Here is a 17,842-nt window from a genome sequence, read left to right as displayed (position 1 = left end):
CACAGCCACATGTGGCGCATGGCTACCATACTGGAAATTGCAAAGGTATAAGGCAACAAAATTATCCAAGAACTCCCAGAGGAGGCTATAGGCTATGGCAGAAGGCGCGGAGGGCGGAGGGGAGGAAATCTCACAGGAAAGAATTTCCAACGAGGCAAGAAGAGGGAAGTAAAATTTGCTGTACCTTTCACGGTGGGCCTGGTGCTCTGCGAGGCATCTGATATGGTATGATTTTCTTCCACCCTCACGGAAATCTGGAAGAAACAGTAAAATAGCAGCAGTGTCACATACCTGAAAACAGCATAATAGTATATCAATAATAAAGTCACTATTATCCCATTTTGTTGTGCTAAAAACAAGGCATGATGAGGTTCACAAACCTGCAGGTGGCAAGACTCAGCCCAGGGCATTCCAAAGCTCAAAGTCCCTTCCTTGTCACCAGGGGGACCCCAGAGTCCACCACTGCAGTAGCCTTTGGCCTTAGCTCCCTGAACTGCAACAGTGGAGAAGGCAGCCCCCAGGGGTCCTCACAGGTCACCATGGTCCAAGGAGCAAGAGAAGCATAGCTTTGCCATCTCGCTGAGGCCCAAACTCAATCATAAAGCTGTCTGAGTCCCTCACCACAGCCCCGTGCCACAAGGTGCTAAGCTCACCCATGTTCACAGTGACTCTTATGACGATGGATGCCAACAATAGTATGTTTTGCACACTCACTCTGAGTGACATGGGAATAGAGAACTTTGCATGTACTGCCTGTCAAACTCCAAAGTCAATCAAGACAGATGTCACTATGCCCAACTTGCTCTCGGTCACACCACTAGGATGGGTAGGGACTGAAACCCACGTCAGTCTGACTGCAAAGTCCTTGTACTTGACCCTTATGCTATGAGGTCTCCTCTCATGACCCCTTGAATGAGTCCTGTGTACTGTCCAGCTAAACTGTCCTACGTGGTGAGAAGAAAATGAAAGAGGATTGGGGCATCCAGGGCTTCCCACAGACTCGCAGAGCTTCTGGATGTTAGCCCTACTGACATTTGAGGCCAGGTGGTCTTGGTTGTTGTGAGGCCGCCCTGTGCACTGTGGGATGTTCAGCAGTATCCCTGCTCTCCATCCATTAGATGACAGTAGCACTCCTTAACCCAGTGTCACAACCAAAACTGTCTCCAGACATTGCCGAGTGTCCCCTGGGGAACAAAAATTACCTTTCTGGTTGAAAAGCAATGCACAGAAATCCCCCACCTTCCCCGGCAGACGTTAGGATGGGTTGTGCATGCTCTGGGCACATGGCCCTGCCACACTCAGTGTCTCAGCTCCCTCATAGCACTTGCAAGATTCTCAATTCCCACACCACCGCTACTGCAGGAGCCCCAGGAGGGGCACCCACCACAATTGGGTAGGTGCAGGTTCTGTTTGGAGAGTAGTTTTTTTTGTTTGTTTGAGACGGAGTCTTGCTCTTGTTGCTCAGGCTAGAGTGCAATGGCGCAGTCTCGGCTCATTGCAACCTCCACCTCCTGGGTTTGAGCGATGCTCCTGCCTCAGCCTCCCGAGTAGCTGGGATTACAGGAACCCGCCACCACATCCAGCTAATATTTTGTATTTTTAGTAGAGACGGGGTTTCACCATGTTGGCCAGGCTGGGCTTGAACTCCTGACCTCAGGTGATCTGCCTGCCTCGGCCTCCCAAAGTGCTGGAATTATAGGTGTGAGCCACCACACCTGGATGCTTTTTTTTTCTTGCTTTTTTTTTTTTTTTTTTTTGAGACAGGGTCTTCCTTTGCTGTCCAGGCTGTAGTGCAGTGGTGCCATCATGGCTCGCTGCAGCCTCCAACTCCTGAGCTCAAGTGATCCTCCTGCTTCAGCCTCCCATGTTGCTGGGACCACAGGCATACACCACCATGCCTGGCTAATTTTTTAAAGAGATGGGGTCTTGTTATGTTGCCCATGCTAATCTCGAACTCCTGGGCTCAAGCAATCCTCCCGTCTCAGCCTCCCAAAGCACTGGGATCACAGGTGTGAGCCACCACACCCAGCCAAGAGCAGTTCTTTTTTTTTTTTGGAGACAGGATTTTGCTCTTGTTGCCCAGGCTGGAGTGCAATGGCCTGATCTCAGCTCACTGCAACCTCCACCTCCCAGGTTCAAATGAGAGTCTCCTGCCTCAGCTTCCCAAGTAGCTGGGGTTATAGGTGCCTGCCACCACGTCCGGCTAATTTTTGTATTTTTAGTAGAGACAGGGTTTCACCATGTTGGCCAAGCTGGTCTCGAACTCCTGACCTCAGGTGATCCACCCGCCTCAGCCTCCCAAAGTGCTGGGATTACAGGCATGAGCCACTGCACCTAGCCAGAGCAGCTCTTAAGAATTCTGACATCAAATGAGACAGCCTTGACTCAAGATGACCATGCGTTCTTTCTGGGGCCAACGTTTGTCCCTTTATGTGATGATCTTGGCCAGCTTGTGGCTGAAACAGGATGTGAACATTTTAAGTGGATGGCCCCCTTGACCAGCAGTAATAGTTCTGTTCCTCTCTCGGCCTCACAAACATCAGCGTTTTTTATTCACTCTTTCCCCTTTCTCTTCCGACCTATCCCTATGTGGCTGCCCACTGGTACAATGATGAGTAACTTCCATTACCAGGGACAGCACTCTCTTTCATCTTTTTATTGTCTTTCCCCTCCCTGTAATGACTAGCGGGCGAGGTCCTCAGGTCGCATCAAGGGCGAGCTGGTCTCTAGCATGTATGTGACTCTGCAATGGACAGGGGTGGTGACAGACATCTCAATCTATGACCCTCTTTCAGGGGTTCTGGGAAGGACACTGATCACGTTGGCATAGTCTAGCCACAGACAATCAGGACACCCGACCATGAAAGGGCAGTGGGAACCAAGGAACACATAAGAAGGCTCTATTGCACCATGTTAATGTCAGTGACCAGGGCTGTCCACTATTCAGCCACAGCCTGTCACCCATGAGCGCCTCCACAGGGGCTGCTCCTCAACAAAGCCACTGCACTGCTCTCTGAATCAAGGAAGCCAAGGAGGCAGAGCCTGCTGGAGGGGAGACATTCCAGAACCCCTACCCAAGCCCAAGACCCCAAGCAAGGGGGGCGTCTCCCTGGGCAAAGCAGCCTGATAGATGTGGAACACAGCAAAGCCTCCTCTGTCTCATCATTAATGTCCCAACTGCCTTGGGCTCAGATCTCAGCACTGTGCAACCCAAAGGGGAAACCAAGCTCGCGGACAGCACGCAAAACCTAACTGCAAATAGGGAAACTCCCTCCTCCATGTCCCCAATGGGCACTAGAGTGGGGGGGCATGTGATTCCCCCACAGGCTTGCTCCAAGACAGTGAACTCAAGGAGTAGCCAGGCTCCTGCGGTCTCTGCAGACTTGTCAGATACTCGCGAAGAAGGCAAGAGCTGGATCAGCACCTGCTGTGGCTCTCAGTGCTCCTGAACAAACTACTGGGAGCCCTGGCCCAGCTCAGCCCTCTAGGGCTCAGCCACAGAGCTGCCAGGCCTTTGCTCAGGGCTGCACGCTGCACATCCATCATTTCGTTTATCAAGGAGCTGTCAGGGAAAGCAGATTCCTCATTAATGTTCTCCAGGGCCTATAGGTTTCCAGCCTTATTCATTCAGGGCAAGCTCAAACGCAGGCCTAAAAACCCTCTTTCCAGCTAGAATTCAATGCATGCTGCTCACCGTCACTCTGACTCACTTCAATAGCCATCTGAAAACAGAGGACGCTGTCCCCTTCCTTCTCTGACTTATAAAATGAGTAATGGAGCAGCTTAAATGAGGGCCTATCTTTGTTCTCACAACACACTGATTATGTCAATGACCTTTACTGATAAAACTATGTGTAGGTATCCATGTTATTGAAGCGACCCAGACAGAGAACAGAAATCAAATCATTATTTGAACAAAAGACAAAAAAAGAAAAATTAATTTGTATCAAATTTTAAAAGCGCGTTAGCTGGGAGGAAATAGCAGGAAAGGGAAAATAGGCCTGGCATAGTGGCTCATGCATGCTTGTAATCCCAGCACTTTGGGAGGCTGGGGCAGGAGGATCACTTGAGCCCAGGAGTTCCAGACCAGCCTGGGAAACTTAGCGAGACCCCACCTCAAAAGAAAGAGAGGAGGAGGAAGGAGGGGAGGGAGGGAGGGAGAGGGAGAGAGAGGGAGACAGAGAGAGAGAGAAAGAAAAGAAAAAAGAAAGAAACGAGAGGGAGGGAGGAAGAGACGGAGAGAGGGAGGGAGAGAGAGAGGGAGGGAGGGAGGGAGGGAGGGAGGGAGGGAGGAACACGCTAATCTCGATCTCCTGGACTCAAGCAATCCTCCTGTCTCAGCCTCCCAATGGAAGCCTTCTAAATGGAAGCACACTGTTTTGGGTATCCATAGATATGAAGAGAAAGTTTGAAATGCCCACCAACTATCTGTGATTAGCACCTACATTTGTGTTACTCGTGGCCAATGTAGCTTTCAAGTTTATGACACATAGCAACCCCTGAGCTTAACTACCTGGTTGCTAATGACACCACCGTATTTGTTATGTCAGGGTTCCTTTTGCTAATTGCTCTTGTGGGCTTCAGGCTTTCTCTGTGTAAGTCTTTTTTTTTTTTTTTTTTTTTTTGAGATGGAGTCTGGCTGTGTCTCCCAGGCTGGAGTGCAATCGCAGGATGGTGCCTGACTGCAACCTCCACCTCCTGGGTTCAGGTGATTTTCCTGCCTCAGCCTCCCTAGTAGCTGGGACTACAGGCACACAACACCACACCCAGCTAATTTTTGTATTTTTTGTAGAGACAAGGTTTCACCATGTTGCCCAGGCTGGTCTCAAACCCCTGGGCTCAAGTTAACCCCTCGCCTCGGCTTTCCAAAGTGTTAGGATTACAGGCGTGAGCCACTGTGCCAGGCCATGGATATCTTTAACGACAAGAACTGTGTGTGTTTGGTTTTAAGACCAAGTGGAGCCCTGATGGTTACATGTCCAACCAAAGGTTATTTAATATTCCCATCACTTCAGATGCTATAATCATAAGTGTGTCATCTGTCCTTGAAACATGTTTTCAACGATGGAATTTTTAAATACAGGACTTGAGTTTTCAGCACTCTCAAAAATCAGAAGGAAAAGGAAAGAGTTATCCAGAAAAAGCTCATTCTCATGGTCATGAGTTTAAACAACCTTAACTATAGACAGACAACCACCGTCCTCTCATAAACCCAACAATCCACTTCATCTCTTGGTTCCCTTTCCACCCTCATTCGGGCTAGGAACGTCTGATCCAATCAACCAGGTGAGAATCATCTCCATGATTCCTCATGCCACTGACTGGCTTCCATTATGGGTCTAATCATCTTCTGGATGAGAGATAGTGGATTTCTCTCAGCAAACAAAACACAGGCGTTCTCCTCATTTCAAACAGCATTATTGCACCTTTAAAAGATTCCATTGAATTGAACCCTAAGAGGCTGCCAGCATTTGACCACTTTTAATTTAAAAGAGCCAGTGTCATTTGGTTCAATCTAATGTGGGTGCAAAATAATTGATATGTACAACTGAAGTCAAAAGTTTGGTTTACAACTGTGTCAGCCCTGGGGGAGAGGGCAAGACTCTCATATCCTTTCCAGAAAGACAGAGTTGCAAATCCACGATGCTCCTTTGGAGATGCCTCCCCACTCCTAGCCCCCTATATTCACTGAGCAAGGCCCTCTGGCTGTAAGCAAGGGGCACTCTTTGCTCTAGGGTTCTCTGGCTTGTTGGCCAAAACCTTATCAGTTATGCATTGTGGTGTGGAGCTTTCCCTACTCAGTCCCCACCTCTCTTTCATCTCCTCAGGCCATGTCCCCAATTTAAACACTTGTACCCTGACTCCTCCTCACCGCACGCTTTCCAGAGGGCCAAACGGACACACTGGCTTTCATGGTGACTTCTTCAAAATCTCTCCCAAAATATCAATGTGTATTGTGTATACACACTATCAACACTACACTATGTATACACACACAGCCAAGCCTTGTTATTTACGGATTCCGTGTCTGTGAATTTGCCTATTGGCTAACATTTATTTGTAGCTCCAAAATCAGTACCTGCAGCGCTTTCATGGTCATTCTCAAACATGCAGCGTGTGGCTGTGTCACCAAATGCACATGTTCCCAGCTGAGGGTGAACAAGGCTCTCACTCCGTAAACAAGTGTCCTTTTCGCAGTCTATTCACAGTGCCAGTTTTTTGAAATGTTGTAGTTTCTGGGTGACTTTGCTGCTTAAAATGGCCCCCAGATGCTGCAGTGCTGTCTCATGTCCTGAAGCACAAGGCTGGGATGCGTCTTATGGGGAAAATACGTGCGTTAGATGAGGTTCGGCCAGGCGTGAGTCACAGTGCTGTTGGCGTGAGTGCAATGTAAAGGAACCAACAGAAACACACAATAGAAATACATACAACAAAGTTATGCACTGACTGCTTGACAACAACATTGTGACCAGAGGTTCGCAGAAGCCTCACTGTGTATTTTCCCTGGGGTGATGCTTTCTATAAAGTCTCAGCGACTTTACAGAACATAGCTCCAGTGAATAATGGGAATCAAGTGTATGCGTGTACAACATGAAGATGCAGCTATCCCAGGAATCTCTGTCGGACCTAAAAAAAAAGAAACCGAAACCCATCTTGCTGCATTTTCACATTCCGTAGACATCCCTGAATGACCTGTCATTATCCCCTCTCCCTTGTGCACCATTTCTCCTGCTCCTCCGCCCTCGACAATTCCTGCCTCTTCTCTACTAAATCAGGGCTACATACTTGTAGGATAGCTGCGCTCCATCACAGAGAAGACTCTCTGCCCATAGCCCTTTTATGCAGGTGAAATTTGATTAAAATGAACGTCGAGGGCAGCTGTGAACGGAAAAAGCCAGGGCCAAAGAGAAACTGCAGGCAATGAGGGACAGAGATGAACCTTTCCCTCTGTAGACTGATAGCTCTTGAGCCCATCCCACACACGAGGGCCCAACAGCCCCCTTCAATTCCTATGACTCAGCACCTCTCAGGAGCAGCTCTGGTGTTTGTCTCCATGTTTTATGTGGGAAATGGATGGAAAAAATGTTAGTATCCAAGGCGAGAAGCAAGCATTGGTTATGAAACAGCATGTCAACTCCTCCTTCCTGTTTTACAACTCCTCTAAGACCTGATGTGGAAACATTTCCAAGAAAGCAAATAAGCAAAAACAAAAACTCAAGACCGAAATTTCTCTTGTAATGTGAGTGATCCTAACAATGAACCAAATAGATTTTAACACGTCCACCTTCATGGAGAATTGTTCTAGCCCGAATTCTAAAAGGACCAAATGTATCAGGCAGGAAGGAATCCTTTAAAAAGAGATCAAAGCCTACTTAAGCAAATTCACGAAAGATGACCAATTTTCAATGAAGATCCTCAAGTTAAATATTTTTAAAATATTTTTTAAAAAAACTTTTTTTTTGAAGTTGAAGAAGTCTATGAGTTGATTTGCCAAGGACTTTAAAGGAAAACACCTGTCACCATGTTTAAAGGCAACACCTGTCACCATGGTTCAAGCTTATATATCTTCCAAAGAGAACTAAGATAATGAGATAAAGGTAATCGTTTTCCTTACTTCCATTTAGACTAAGTGTCTGAACTTGATTTTCTCTGATAGGGTCTAAGTCGGCCTTTAATTATGTCAGACGCACATGAGTAGATAACCAAGAAGTACCCTCAGACCCTATAAGACAACCCTAGAGTATGGAATATGCTGGAATGTTCTGGCAAATTCTCTTCTGGAATTTGGTTCCTCTCTTTCTTGGTTCCTGTTCAAGGCAGTTGAGTCACTCTAAGTTCCAGTCAACATAATAATTATACAAATCCGCTGTGGTGCCAAGTGAAGATCCCAAAGACAACGCTGTAGCCACTGGACCGCACCACATGCAGCTCTCAGCACTGGCAGTGGCGGTATGATCCCCCACAGCTCCATCAATTCAGATCAAGGGCTGTGAACAGTCTCGAAGATGAATCACAGTGTGGTGCTAAAACAACCTCAGAGAACATTTGTCTCAAGCTCTGAGATGACAGAAAAAGAGAGACAATTCCTATATTTTCCTGGGACCAGTGTCACGGGGTGGTTAGGGACAGCATCAGGACTAAATTCAACATTTCTGTTCCCACGAGAGGGTTCTTTCCAGGAAAAGAGACAGTATATCAAACAACAACAAAAATCTACAATTACGCAGGTTGTTTTTTGGTTTTTTTTGTTTTGTTTTGTTTTTGAGACAAGATCTCACTCCAGTTGCCCAGGCTGAAGTGCAGTGGCATGATCTCAGGATATCAGCTCACTGCAGCCTCGACTTCCCAGGTTCAGGTGATCCTCCCACCCCAGCCTCCCAAGTAGCTGGGACCAGGAACATACCACCACGCCTGGCTAATTTTCTGTATTTTTAGTAGAGATGGAATGTCACCATCTTGCCCAGGCTGGTCTCCAACTCACGGGTCCAAGCAATCCGCCCGCCTCAGCTTCCCAAAGTGCTTGGGTTATAGGCATGAGCCATCACGTCCAGCCTACATGGGTGTCCTTTGATTTAATCCAGGCAATCATAGATGAGTCCTGGAACTCAAATTGGGCTTACATAACCCCAATTTCCAAACAAGTGAATCAACAAATCCCCAAAAGTCTTCATTTCCTTTTATACATGCTGTACAAGTGGGCCGAGAGAACAGGTCCCCTGCAAGAAGTTAGACTTCCTGGAGGAGCCAGGCAGGAAAATCAGAATCCTCTCCCTCTTGATGAATGAGACAATCTTCCAAGGGACTTAGAGATTGCTTATGTGATAATACCAGTTCCTGTTCCCTAAGGCACAGCATAGCAAGTGGGAAAACATCACCTCCATTGAGCATAAAGAGTTCCTAGAAAGCATTCTGGCAAGTGGAATTGAGACTCTGCCCTATGGCACTGATAAGAAGCAGGTGGAGGGAAATAACCAGCGGAATATCTCTCTATCACACTCCCAGTCACATAGCAATGCACTACATTCATCACTGGCTCAGAAACCCAGCCAATGCCAAAATCGCATTGCTTGTCCTCAAAAGCATGTCTTCCAGCACATTCCCAAATGGTTTCATCCTTCCATTCCTTCCTCCCCTACACACACACACACACACACACACACACACACACACACACACACACACACACACACACACCCTCTAGCCCCAATCTCAACAATATTCCACTCCCTGCATCTGATACCATGCACCCTGTATCACCGTGCCATGAATCAATCAACAAAACGTCTTGGTACAGAGGCATACCGAACAGAAAGGGAAGTTTGATTCCTTCTTATGTTGCCTCTAGCTCAAGGCCTCTGGCACAAGTCACAAACACCGCAGACCTCCACAAAACGCTCACACCAGCTGAGGTAAGGGCTCCCTTTCCAAAAACGGACATTGGTTTTCTCACTACTAAAATGTGACTTTAAAGAGGCTGGCTCATTTTAATGTAAATATTCTTTAGACAAAACATGATTAGAAATTACCAAGACTGGTAGCATAATGACATCTGAAACTGTTAGTCCTGCACTTGGAAAAGTGGCAGTTAAAAAAAGCACAACATGGCTTTCTCATTTTTTTAATGAAGCCAAGTCCTCCTCCTAATTTAGTTCATATACTTCTATTTTCATCTTCCCTTTTACTACGCGTGAATTTTTAGGTCATCTGCTTGTCAGACACACCAGCTTAGTGTCTTAACAGCCAAGGGGATGAGAGGCAAGTTAATAAATTAGTAAAAAGAGCAACTGAAGGATGGACTCTGTTCCTCTCCCTGCATCCCACAAACCACTAAGCGTCCTTCCCACATGGGGAGCCAGGAAGAAAAGAAACCTTCGTCTCACAACTACTCCATGTACACAAGGAGAACCACTTCAGTGAATCAATACTAACACCCCCTTAAAGAAGTATTTCATAACAAAGTTATTTCTATAACTTGCTGGTAGCCCCCAGAGGCAATACTTGGCTGATCTGAGCATAGCAAATTTCAGGTGACACAGCATCCTCCATAGAAATGCTGCTTGCATGCTTTCTACAAGGAAATCTGTCCATGCTTGCTGTGTACAATTGAGGTGGGGAATGGAGAAGCTTTAACTCCCTGAACTGTACTTCTGTTGTCCTATCAGCAAGCAATTCTTGATTTTTTTTTAATATCTGAAACATTTCAATCACCAAAACAACTTGAGGGTAGGAGAAGAAAGGAGGCTGTCAGCTTGCCAGTGACAAGGACCTTTTCTCCTAATTGCCACACAGAAACCGAGCATCAATATGCCAACCATTCAGCCCCAAAAGCCTAGAAACAGGATTTATAGCAAAGTATAAAAGGCTGGTCCACGGATACCTCATAAATGAGTCTTTAACCACAGAGCGCAACTCACATTGCAATTGATACCATTAGCAACTGACTGATCATTATCGTATGCTGAGTACTGTGCAGAGTAGAAACAAAATATAAAGCGTGATCACTGCTATTAAGAACTTACTGGCCACTAGCTGGGTGTGGTGGTATGCACCTGTAGTCTCAGCTACTCGGGTGGCTGAGGCGGGAAAATCACTTGAGCCTGGGAGGTCGAGGCTGCAGTGAGCCGAGATCATGCCACTACACTCCAGCCTGCATGACACAGTGAGACTCTGTCTCAAAGAAAAAAAAAAAAAAAATATATATATATATATATATATATATATATATAAATATACTGGCCAAGTGCGGTGATGCGGTGGTGCAGTGGCACACACCTGTAATCCCAATACTTTGGAAGGCCTAGGCAGGAGGATTGCTTGAGCCCTAGAGTTCAAGACCAGCCTGCGCAACAACAGTGAGACCCCATCTCTACAAAAACAATTTAAAAACTAGCAGAGCATGGTGGCATGCACCTATAGTCCCAAGCTACTCAAGAGGCTGAGGCAGGAGGATTGCTTTAGCCCAGAAGTTCAAGGCTGCAATGAGCTATGATTGAGCCACTGCACTCCAGCCTGGGTGATAGAGTGAGATCCCCTCTCAAAAAAAAAATTAAAAACAAATTTTTTAAGAATTTATAATCTTGCTGGTGAGCAGGAATAACAGGACAGAAGAAACAGCTGGCAAAAGGCCACTTAGAAAAAAAATAAGCTCATAATAGAAATCTAATAAAACATAGATTTCTTCCCACACCAAATAAACGGTCCATTTATTAAGCTACTAATAAACAGCAAGAGTAAATACTTAATACAACAAAGAATTAATACAATATGAGCAGAACATATTTTTTAATTACAGAAGTAATAGATCTAACTAAGACCCTTGGGTTTGAATTCGCCTCTCCACACAACTATCTGCGAGATATCAAACCTTCCTTCCTAGATGTGTCCGTGTCTACTTATATGGAAAGAATCACCAATTCCCCTTCCCAGTTGGAACAGTCTTGCAAGACATGGTTCTCAAACTATAAAGTGCATGAAAATCACCTAAAATTGCCTGTTTGTGCAGGGTTTCTTGGCCTCAGCAGAACTGACATTTGTTGGGCCAGATAATTCTTTGAGGGGGGCTGTCCTGTGCACATTACAGTGCTTAGTGGAACCCCTGGGGTCTGCCCACAAGATGCCAGGAGCAACCCCCACCCAGCTGTGAAACGCAAAAGTGTTTCCCGACATTGTCAAATGTTCCCCAAGGGGCACAATCCCCTCTCCTCAGGTGAGAACAGGGCTCTAAGATGGAATCAAGGAAGCTGCAGGTTTAACAAGCACCCTGGCTAGGTGCAGTGGCTCACACCTGTAATCCCTGCACTTTGGGAGGCCGAGGTGGGAGGACTGCTTGAGCCCAGGAGTTCAAGACTAGTCTGGACAACATGATGAGACTCTGTCTCTACAAAAAAAATGTTTAAAAAGTAGCTGAATGTGGTGAGTGTGCACCTGTATTCCCAGCTACTTGGGAGGCTGAGGCGGGAGGAGACTTGAGCCCAGAAGAAAGAAGCACCAGTGAGCCATGATCTCACCATTGCACTCGAGTTTGGGTGACAGTGAGATCCTGTCTCAAAAATAAAGTAATAATAAAAAGATAACAAGCACACAGTGCTTCAAAAATCCACCTATAGAGCTGATTTTCTAGGGTATGACTGGATGTATCCACAGTCTCTTCCACAGGGATCACCTTCCCTTCCACCCACAAACATGGCAGAGGCACTGCAATGCTAACTCTTCCATCCTCCCATAGTGGAAGTCTATGGCTGCTCCCTTTGCCATGTGACTTTTCAGGGCTTTCAGACTAGAATAGCCCTCCCCAACCCGTGGAGGCTGGACCTCACCATGGGACTTGTTTTGGTCAATGGGATGTTAGGGGTAGTGACAAACAGAGACTTTAAATGTGCCTGCATGATTTATCTTGGCTTCCTATACCTGATGGGAGAGGCACAAACAACATGCCCCAGGGTCCCCTGATGAGGAGACACATCATTTCAACCCTAAGCCTAGCCCAGAACCTGACCAGGCCTTCCTATTCCCATATAAGCCCAGGAGAGACACAGCTAACCATGACTAGTGAGCAAGAAAGAAACGATTTAAGCCTCTGAATTTGGGGGCTGTTTGTTATGCAACATTAGCATGGCAGAAAGCTGACCAGTATACTCCCAAACTATTTTTGAGCCAAAATGCTGATTAACAAGCTAATTATTGTTGAGTCTTCTGTCCCTTAACTCCACCAGTCTTCCTCCACCATTCTGTGAAGCCACAAACCCAGGGGCTCTTGATTCAGGCCCCAGAAATCCACACACAGCATCTGCAAAGTCCTGGAAGCCAGGCCCCACCCGCTACCTCTGCTTGCTTCATGGTGGTCTCATTCCTTACCCACAGCTGACACAGACTCTGAGACTCCAAGTCCAGAAAAGTAGCTCTGGCAGAGTCCCTGATAAAGTCCAAAACCAAGAGTGGCAGGAAAGAGGACCTCAATACACAAGTGTGTCTCTGAGCTGTTCAGCAATCTAGGGGCTCTCCAAAATGGAAAGCAAATCCTGGCTCATTCAGAGGGAATCAATACTGAGGGCAAGCATGGTGGCTCAAACCTGCAATCCCAGCACTTTGGGAGGCCAAGGAGGGAGGATCGCTTGAGACCAGGAGTTTGAGACCAGCCTGGGCAACAAAATGAGACTGTCTCTATTAATCACTCAATCAACCAACCAATCAATCGACTCAGTGAGTGAGCAATACAAACCAAATGGCTCAACAGTACCAGATTTCTCAATTATTCGAGAGACAAAACACAAACGTTACATAAGCCTATGAATCTTGCAGGCTTCAGAGGAGCAAATTAAGAGACAGAAACAAAGGAAGTAAGTCTGTCCTTGAAGACTGACAATGTAGTAGGCAGAATAATGGCCCCCAAAGATGCTCATGCCTGAATCCCTGGGACCTGAGAATATGTTTCCTTATATGGTAAAAGGGACTTTACAAATGTGATTAAATTAAGTCTCTTGAGATGTGGGGATTATTCTGGATCTTCCGGATGGGCCCAATGTAATCACAGGAGCCCGGAAAAGTGGACAGCCTTTCCCAGCTATGGTCTCAGAGAGATATGCCTATGGAAGGACAGTCAGAGAGGTGCTACGCTGCTCCTCTGCAGATGGAGGAAGGGGCCACAAGCTCAGGAATGCGGCCAGTCTCCAGGAGCTGGAAAAGGCAAGGAAGCCAATTCTCCCCTAGAGCTTCCAGGAAAGTTGTGGCTCTGCTAAACCTTGATTTTAGCACAGTGAGACCCATTTCAGACTTCTGGCCTTCAGAACCGTAAGATAATAGTTTTTGTTTAAGCCAGTAAATGTGCAGTCACTTGTCACAGTAGGACAAGAAATGAATATGATCAATTATAACACCAACCAGTAAAGTACAATGGCCTTCAGTCTTATCAGTAAGCCCTTCATTGCAGGTACAGATGCCCCAGAAAATCATGTCCCATGAATGGTTTCAGAAAATCACCCTCCATATTCTCCAACCCAACCCGGGAAAAGTAATTTTGGTCAAACACAGACAAAAGGTTTGATAAATTCAGAAAAGTAAACAACCTTATGATTCTGTTCCTGCATCAGTCAGGGTTGTGACTTTGGGGACGCCGTAGAAAACAGCCTAAGTCTTGCTGCTTGGAATCCCACAACCTCAGCTCTGGAAGGAACACCACACAACCCCTTTGGGAAATGCAAGCTTCCTAACTCTTACACCAAGAAAGGACCTTCTGACTCCACCCAAAAGATGCAACACAAGAGAGACCTGCAGGCCCAGCTCTAGCTGACGAAAATTGTTTTCTACGTTGACCTTTAGGTATAGGAAAGTGGGAGAAATTTGGAGGAACTACAGCAAATGCGAAAGAGAAAATTACCGTTCATGCTAGAATAGAAGCTGAACTATAAACAATTTTATGAACAATGTTCCATTTGTGAACGATTTTCCATTTTAAATGTAATTGGAGGGAGGAGCAGCCTGTGTCTCTGGCTGACTTATCTCAGAACATTGTTCCACCTTCCTTAATCACCTGGGGTTTTGACAGAACATTTACAAGAAACTAGAACAACACATACTACAACATGGATGAAACTCAGAAATATGAAGTAAGAATCCAGGCGCAAAAGGTCACACATCACATGATTCTGTATCTATGAAATGTCCAGAATAGATAAATCCATAGAGGCAGAAACCAGATTCAGGGTTGCCAGGGGGGCTGGGGAGAAGGGGAAGGGGCAGTGATGTCTTAACAGGTACAGGGTCTCCTTTGGGAGTGATGAAAATGTTCAAAAATTAGACAGTGGTGATGGTTGTGCAACTTTGTAAAAATACTAGGAAATTCCTGAATTACACACTTTAGAGGAATGAGTTGTGTGTATGCTCAGTAAAGTTGTCATTAAAAAAGAGAAGAAGAAACTAGGATATTAGCCAATGATTACAAGTCACTGCAAATCCAAAATTTAACCATCCTAAGGAGATAAGCCTCCTTACAGAGCCTGGAATCCTCCAGGAATCTGTTCCACGACTTCTCCTGAGTGAAGAATCTGAAAGGAATGAACTGAGGTCAACAGCAAAGATAAGAAGCGGTGACCGGAGGTACCTGCAGAATGCACTCAGGGACAAACTGGAAGAGTAGGGCTTTATTATCAAATTCAAGAAGATGCTTTTGCAACAAAGAGTCCACAGTAATTTAAAGCTGCTCTCTGTCAATGAAAAAAGTCAAACTGCAAAACATTTGAAGAGATTTATTCTGAGCTGAATATGAGTGACCATGGCCCGTGACATGGCCCTCAGGAGATCCTGAGAACATGTACCCAAGGCGGTTGGGGCATAGCTTGGTTTTATACATTTTAGGGAGACATGAGATATCAAAATACATTTAAGATATAGATTGGTTTGGTCCAGAAAGGTGGGAAGACTTGAGGCGGCGGGGGCGTGGGGGGGGGGTGTGTGTTCTGGGATAAAATTCTTCTGATTGGCAACTGGTTGAAAGAGTTATTATCGGCAAGGCCTGGTAGCTCATGCTTATAATCGCTGTACTCTGAGAGGCCAAGGCAGGCAGATTGCTTGAGTCCAGGAGCTCGAGACCAGCCTAGGCAACATGGCAAAACACCGTCTTTACAAAAAATACAAAAATTAACCAGGTGTGGTGGCACACACCTGTAGTCCTAGCTGCTAGAGAGGCGGAGGTGGGAGGATCGCTTGAGCCCAGGAGGTCAAGGCTACAGTGAGCTGTGATCATGCCATCACACTCCAACCTGGGCAACAGCACTTGTCTCAATAATAAAAAAAAAAAAGCTATTATCAATAGAAAAAAATGTCCAGGTACCATAAGGGGTTGTAGAGACCTAGGTTTTATCACGCAGATGATGCCTCCAGGTAGCAGGCTTCAGAGAAAATAGATTGTAACTGTTTCTTATCAGACTTAAGGTCTGTGTTAAATGCTGTCGGCTGTTCATGAATTCCAAAAGGGAGGAGGGCATAATGAAGCATGTTCAAACCCCCTTCCTGTCATGCCCTGAACCAGTTTTTCAGGTTAACTATGGAGTGCCCTGGCCTAGAGGAGGGAGTCCCTTCAGATGGTTGACCAAAAGTATTACCTTTCCCCAAACTTAAAAAAATAAAATAAAATAAATAACAAATACATTGATCATACACATCTTCTGGTAGCTTCCTAGCTGCTCCAAGGCTTGTTAGATCAGACACCCGAAAGGCAAATTGGCCCCCTTTCGTGAATTGATTTGAGACTGGTTGATTTTGGCAGGGCAGGGGGATGAAGAAAGGATGGATTTGGTTTGCCTGTGAAAGGCAAGCCTGATGACTAGCTATGCTTTGCCCAAAGGTTCCAGGGGGCATAGTAGCACCTCAGAGCTCTTGGCACCAGGCACAGCTACAAACTCGTCTCATGTGGGCGGGTGCTGACAACACAGCCCGGCCATCCCATCAGAAGGCCATCCCAGCATCTGCAGCAGAGGGCACAATTAGGCCCAATGAGGGCAGACTCCCATTTGGGGGAGTGTCATGGTTTGAGTTTTGCTAACATCAAAACCTGCCTCACCTACTCCAAGTTATTCTTGGTATCTGCCCCTTGCTGGAAGGAAGCCATGCCCAGAAGCCCAAAGAAAAGACTGACATGTTCGACTACACAAAAATGCGAGCTTGATGCTTCAAACCATAAGCAACATTACATGGCAAGGAATGGTCTAGAAGAGAAATACCTGGAACAACTAACAAACGATTAACTATCATAATTTACAAAGACTTCCTTTAAGGCAGCAGCCCTCGAAGTCTATGTGGTCCTTGAACCATTGGCACCAGCATCAGCTGAGAGCCCATTAGAAAGGCAGAGTCTTAACCCAGCCCCTAATTCAATGAATCACAAACTCTGGGGATGGGGCCTGCCACTCTGTGTGTTGGTTTTTCTGGGGTTTTGGGGGGAGTATTTATGCAACAGGGTCTTGTGCTCTATCACCCAGGCTGGAGTGCAGTGGCACAATCACAGCTCACTGCAGCCTCAAACTCCTGGACTCAAGTGATTGTCCCACTGCAGCCTCTCGAGAAGCTGGGACTACAAGTGCACACAATACCTGGCTAATTTTTTTTTTTTTTTTTTTTTTTTTAGTGCCAGGGTCTCTCTACATTGCCCAGGCTGGTCTCGAACTTCTCGGTTCAAGCTATCCTCCTGCCTCAGCCTTCCAAGGTGCTGGAATTCCAGGCATGAGCCACCGTGCCTGGATGCTCTGTGTTTTAACAAGCTCTGCAGGTGGTTCCGATGCATGATGAAGTTTGAGAACCACTGTACAGCCATGTAAACATTTACAGCAGCATTATTCATAATTGTCACAATAAAAAACAAACAACCCAAACATTCAACAACTGGTGAATGGATACACAAACCATAGTGCATCCATACAGGAAGGAATCCTACGCAGCAATAGAGGAATGAGTTAGTGACATGTGCAACAACATGAAGCCCCAAAATCATGATGCTGAGGGAGAGACGCCAGGCAAAATAATGAGTACATACCATATGATTTCAGTAATATAAATTGCTAGAAAATGCAATAGTCACAGACTGCCCACCAATGGCTGCCTGGGAAAGGGGTAGAGGGAGGGGGAGAGACATTACAAAAAAGCACAAGTAAACTTTGGAGAGTGATGGAAATATTCTTTGACTGTGGTGCTGGTTTCACAAATATGGGTGTGTGTGTGTGTGTGTATGAAAAAACGAGCCAGGCACGGTGGCTCACACCCGTAGTAATCCTAGCACTTTGGAAGGCCAAGGCAGGAGGATCACTTGAGCCCAGGAGTTTGAGACCAGCCTGGGCAACATAGGGAGCCCTCA

The 17,842-nt window shown here is 46.1% G+C and overlaps 1 protein-coding gene across 4 annotated transcripts in view; it reads right to left on the bottom strand.

Moving 5' to 3' along the window:
• Window positions 1–17,842, bottom strand: part of TBL1X (transducin beta like 1 X-linked) — a 256,446-nt gene that overhangs the window by 217,707 nt on the left and 20,897 nt on the right. For all 4 annotated transcript variants that reach the window (NM_001139468.1, NM_001139466.1, NM_001139467.1 and 1 more), the window contains exon 2: window positions 185–254. The gene's annotated coding sequence lies outside the window, so the exon portion shown is untranslated. The remainder of the gene's footprint in view (window positions 1–184; window positions 255–17,842) is intronic.

Source organism: Homo sapiens, chromosome X (genome assembly GCF_000001405.40).
Source record: "Homo sapiens chromosome X, GRCh38.p14 Primary Assembly".
Lineage (NCBI taxonomy): Eukaryota > Metazoa > Chordata > Mammalia > Primates > Hominidae > Homo > Homo sapiens.
The sequence above is the reverse complement of the archived record's forward strand: the minus strand, read 5'-3'. Positions and strand labels throughout refer to the sequence as shown.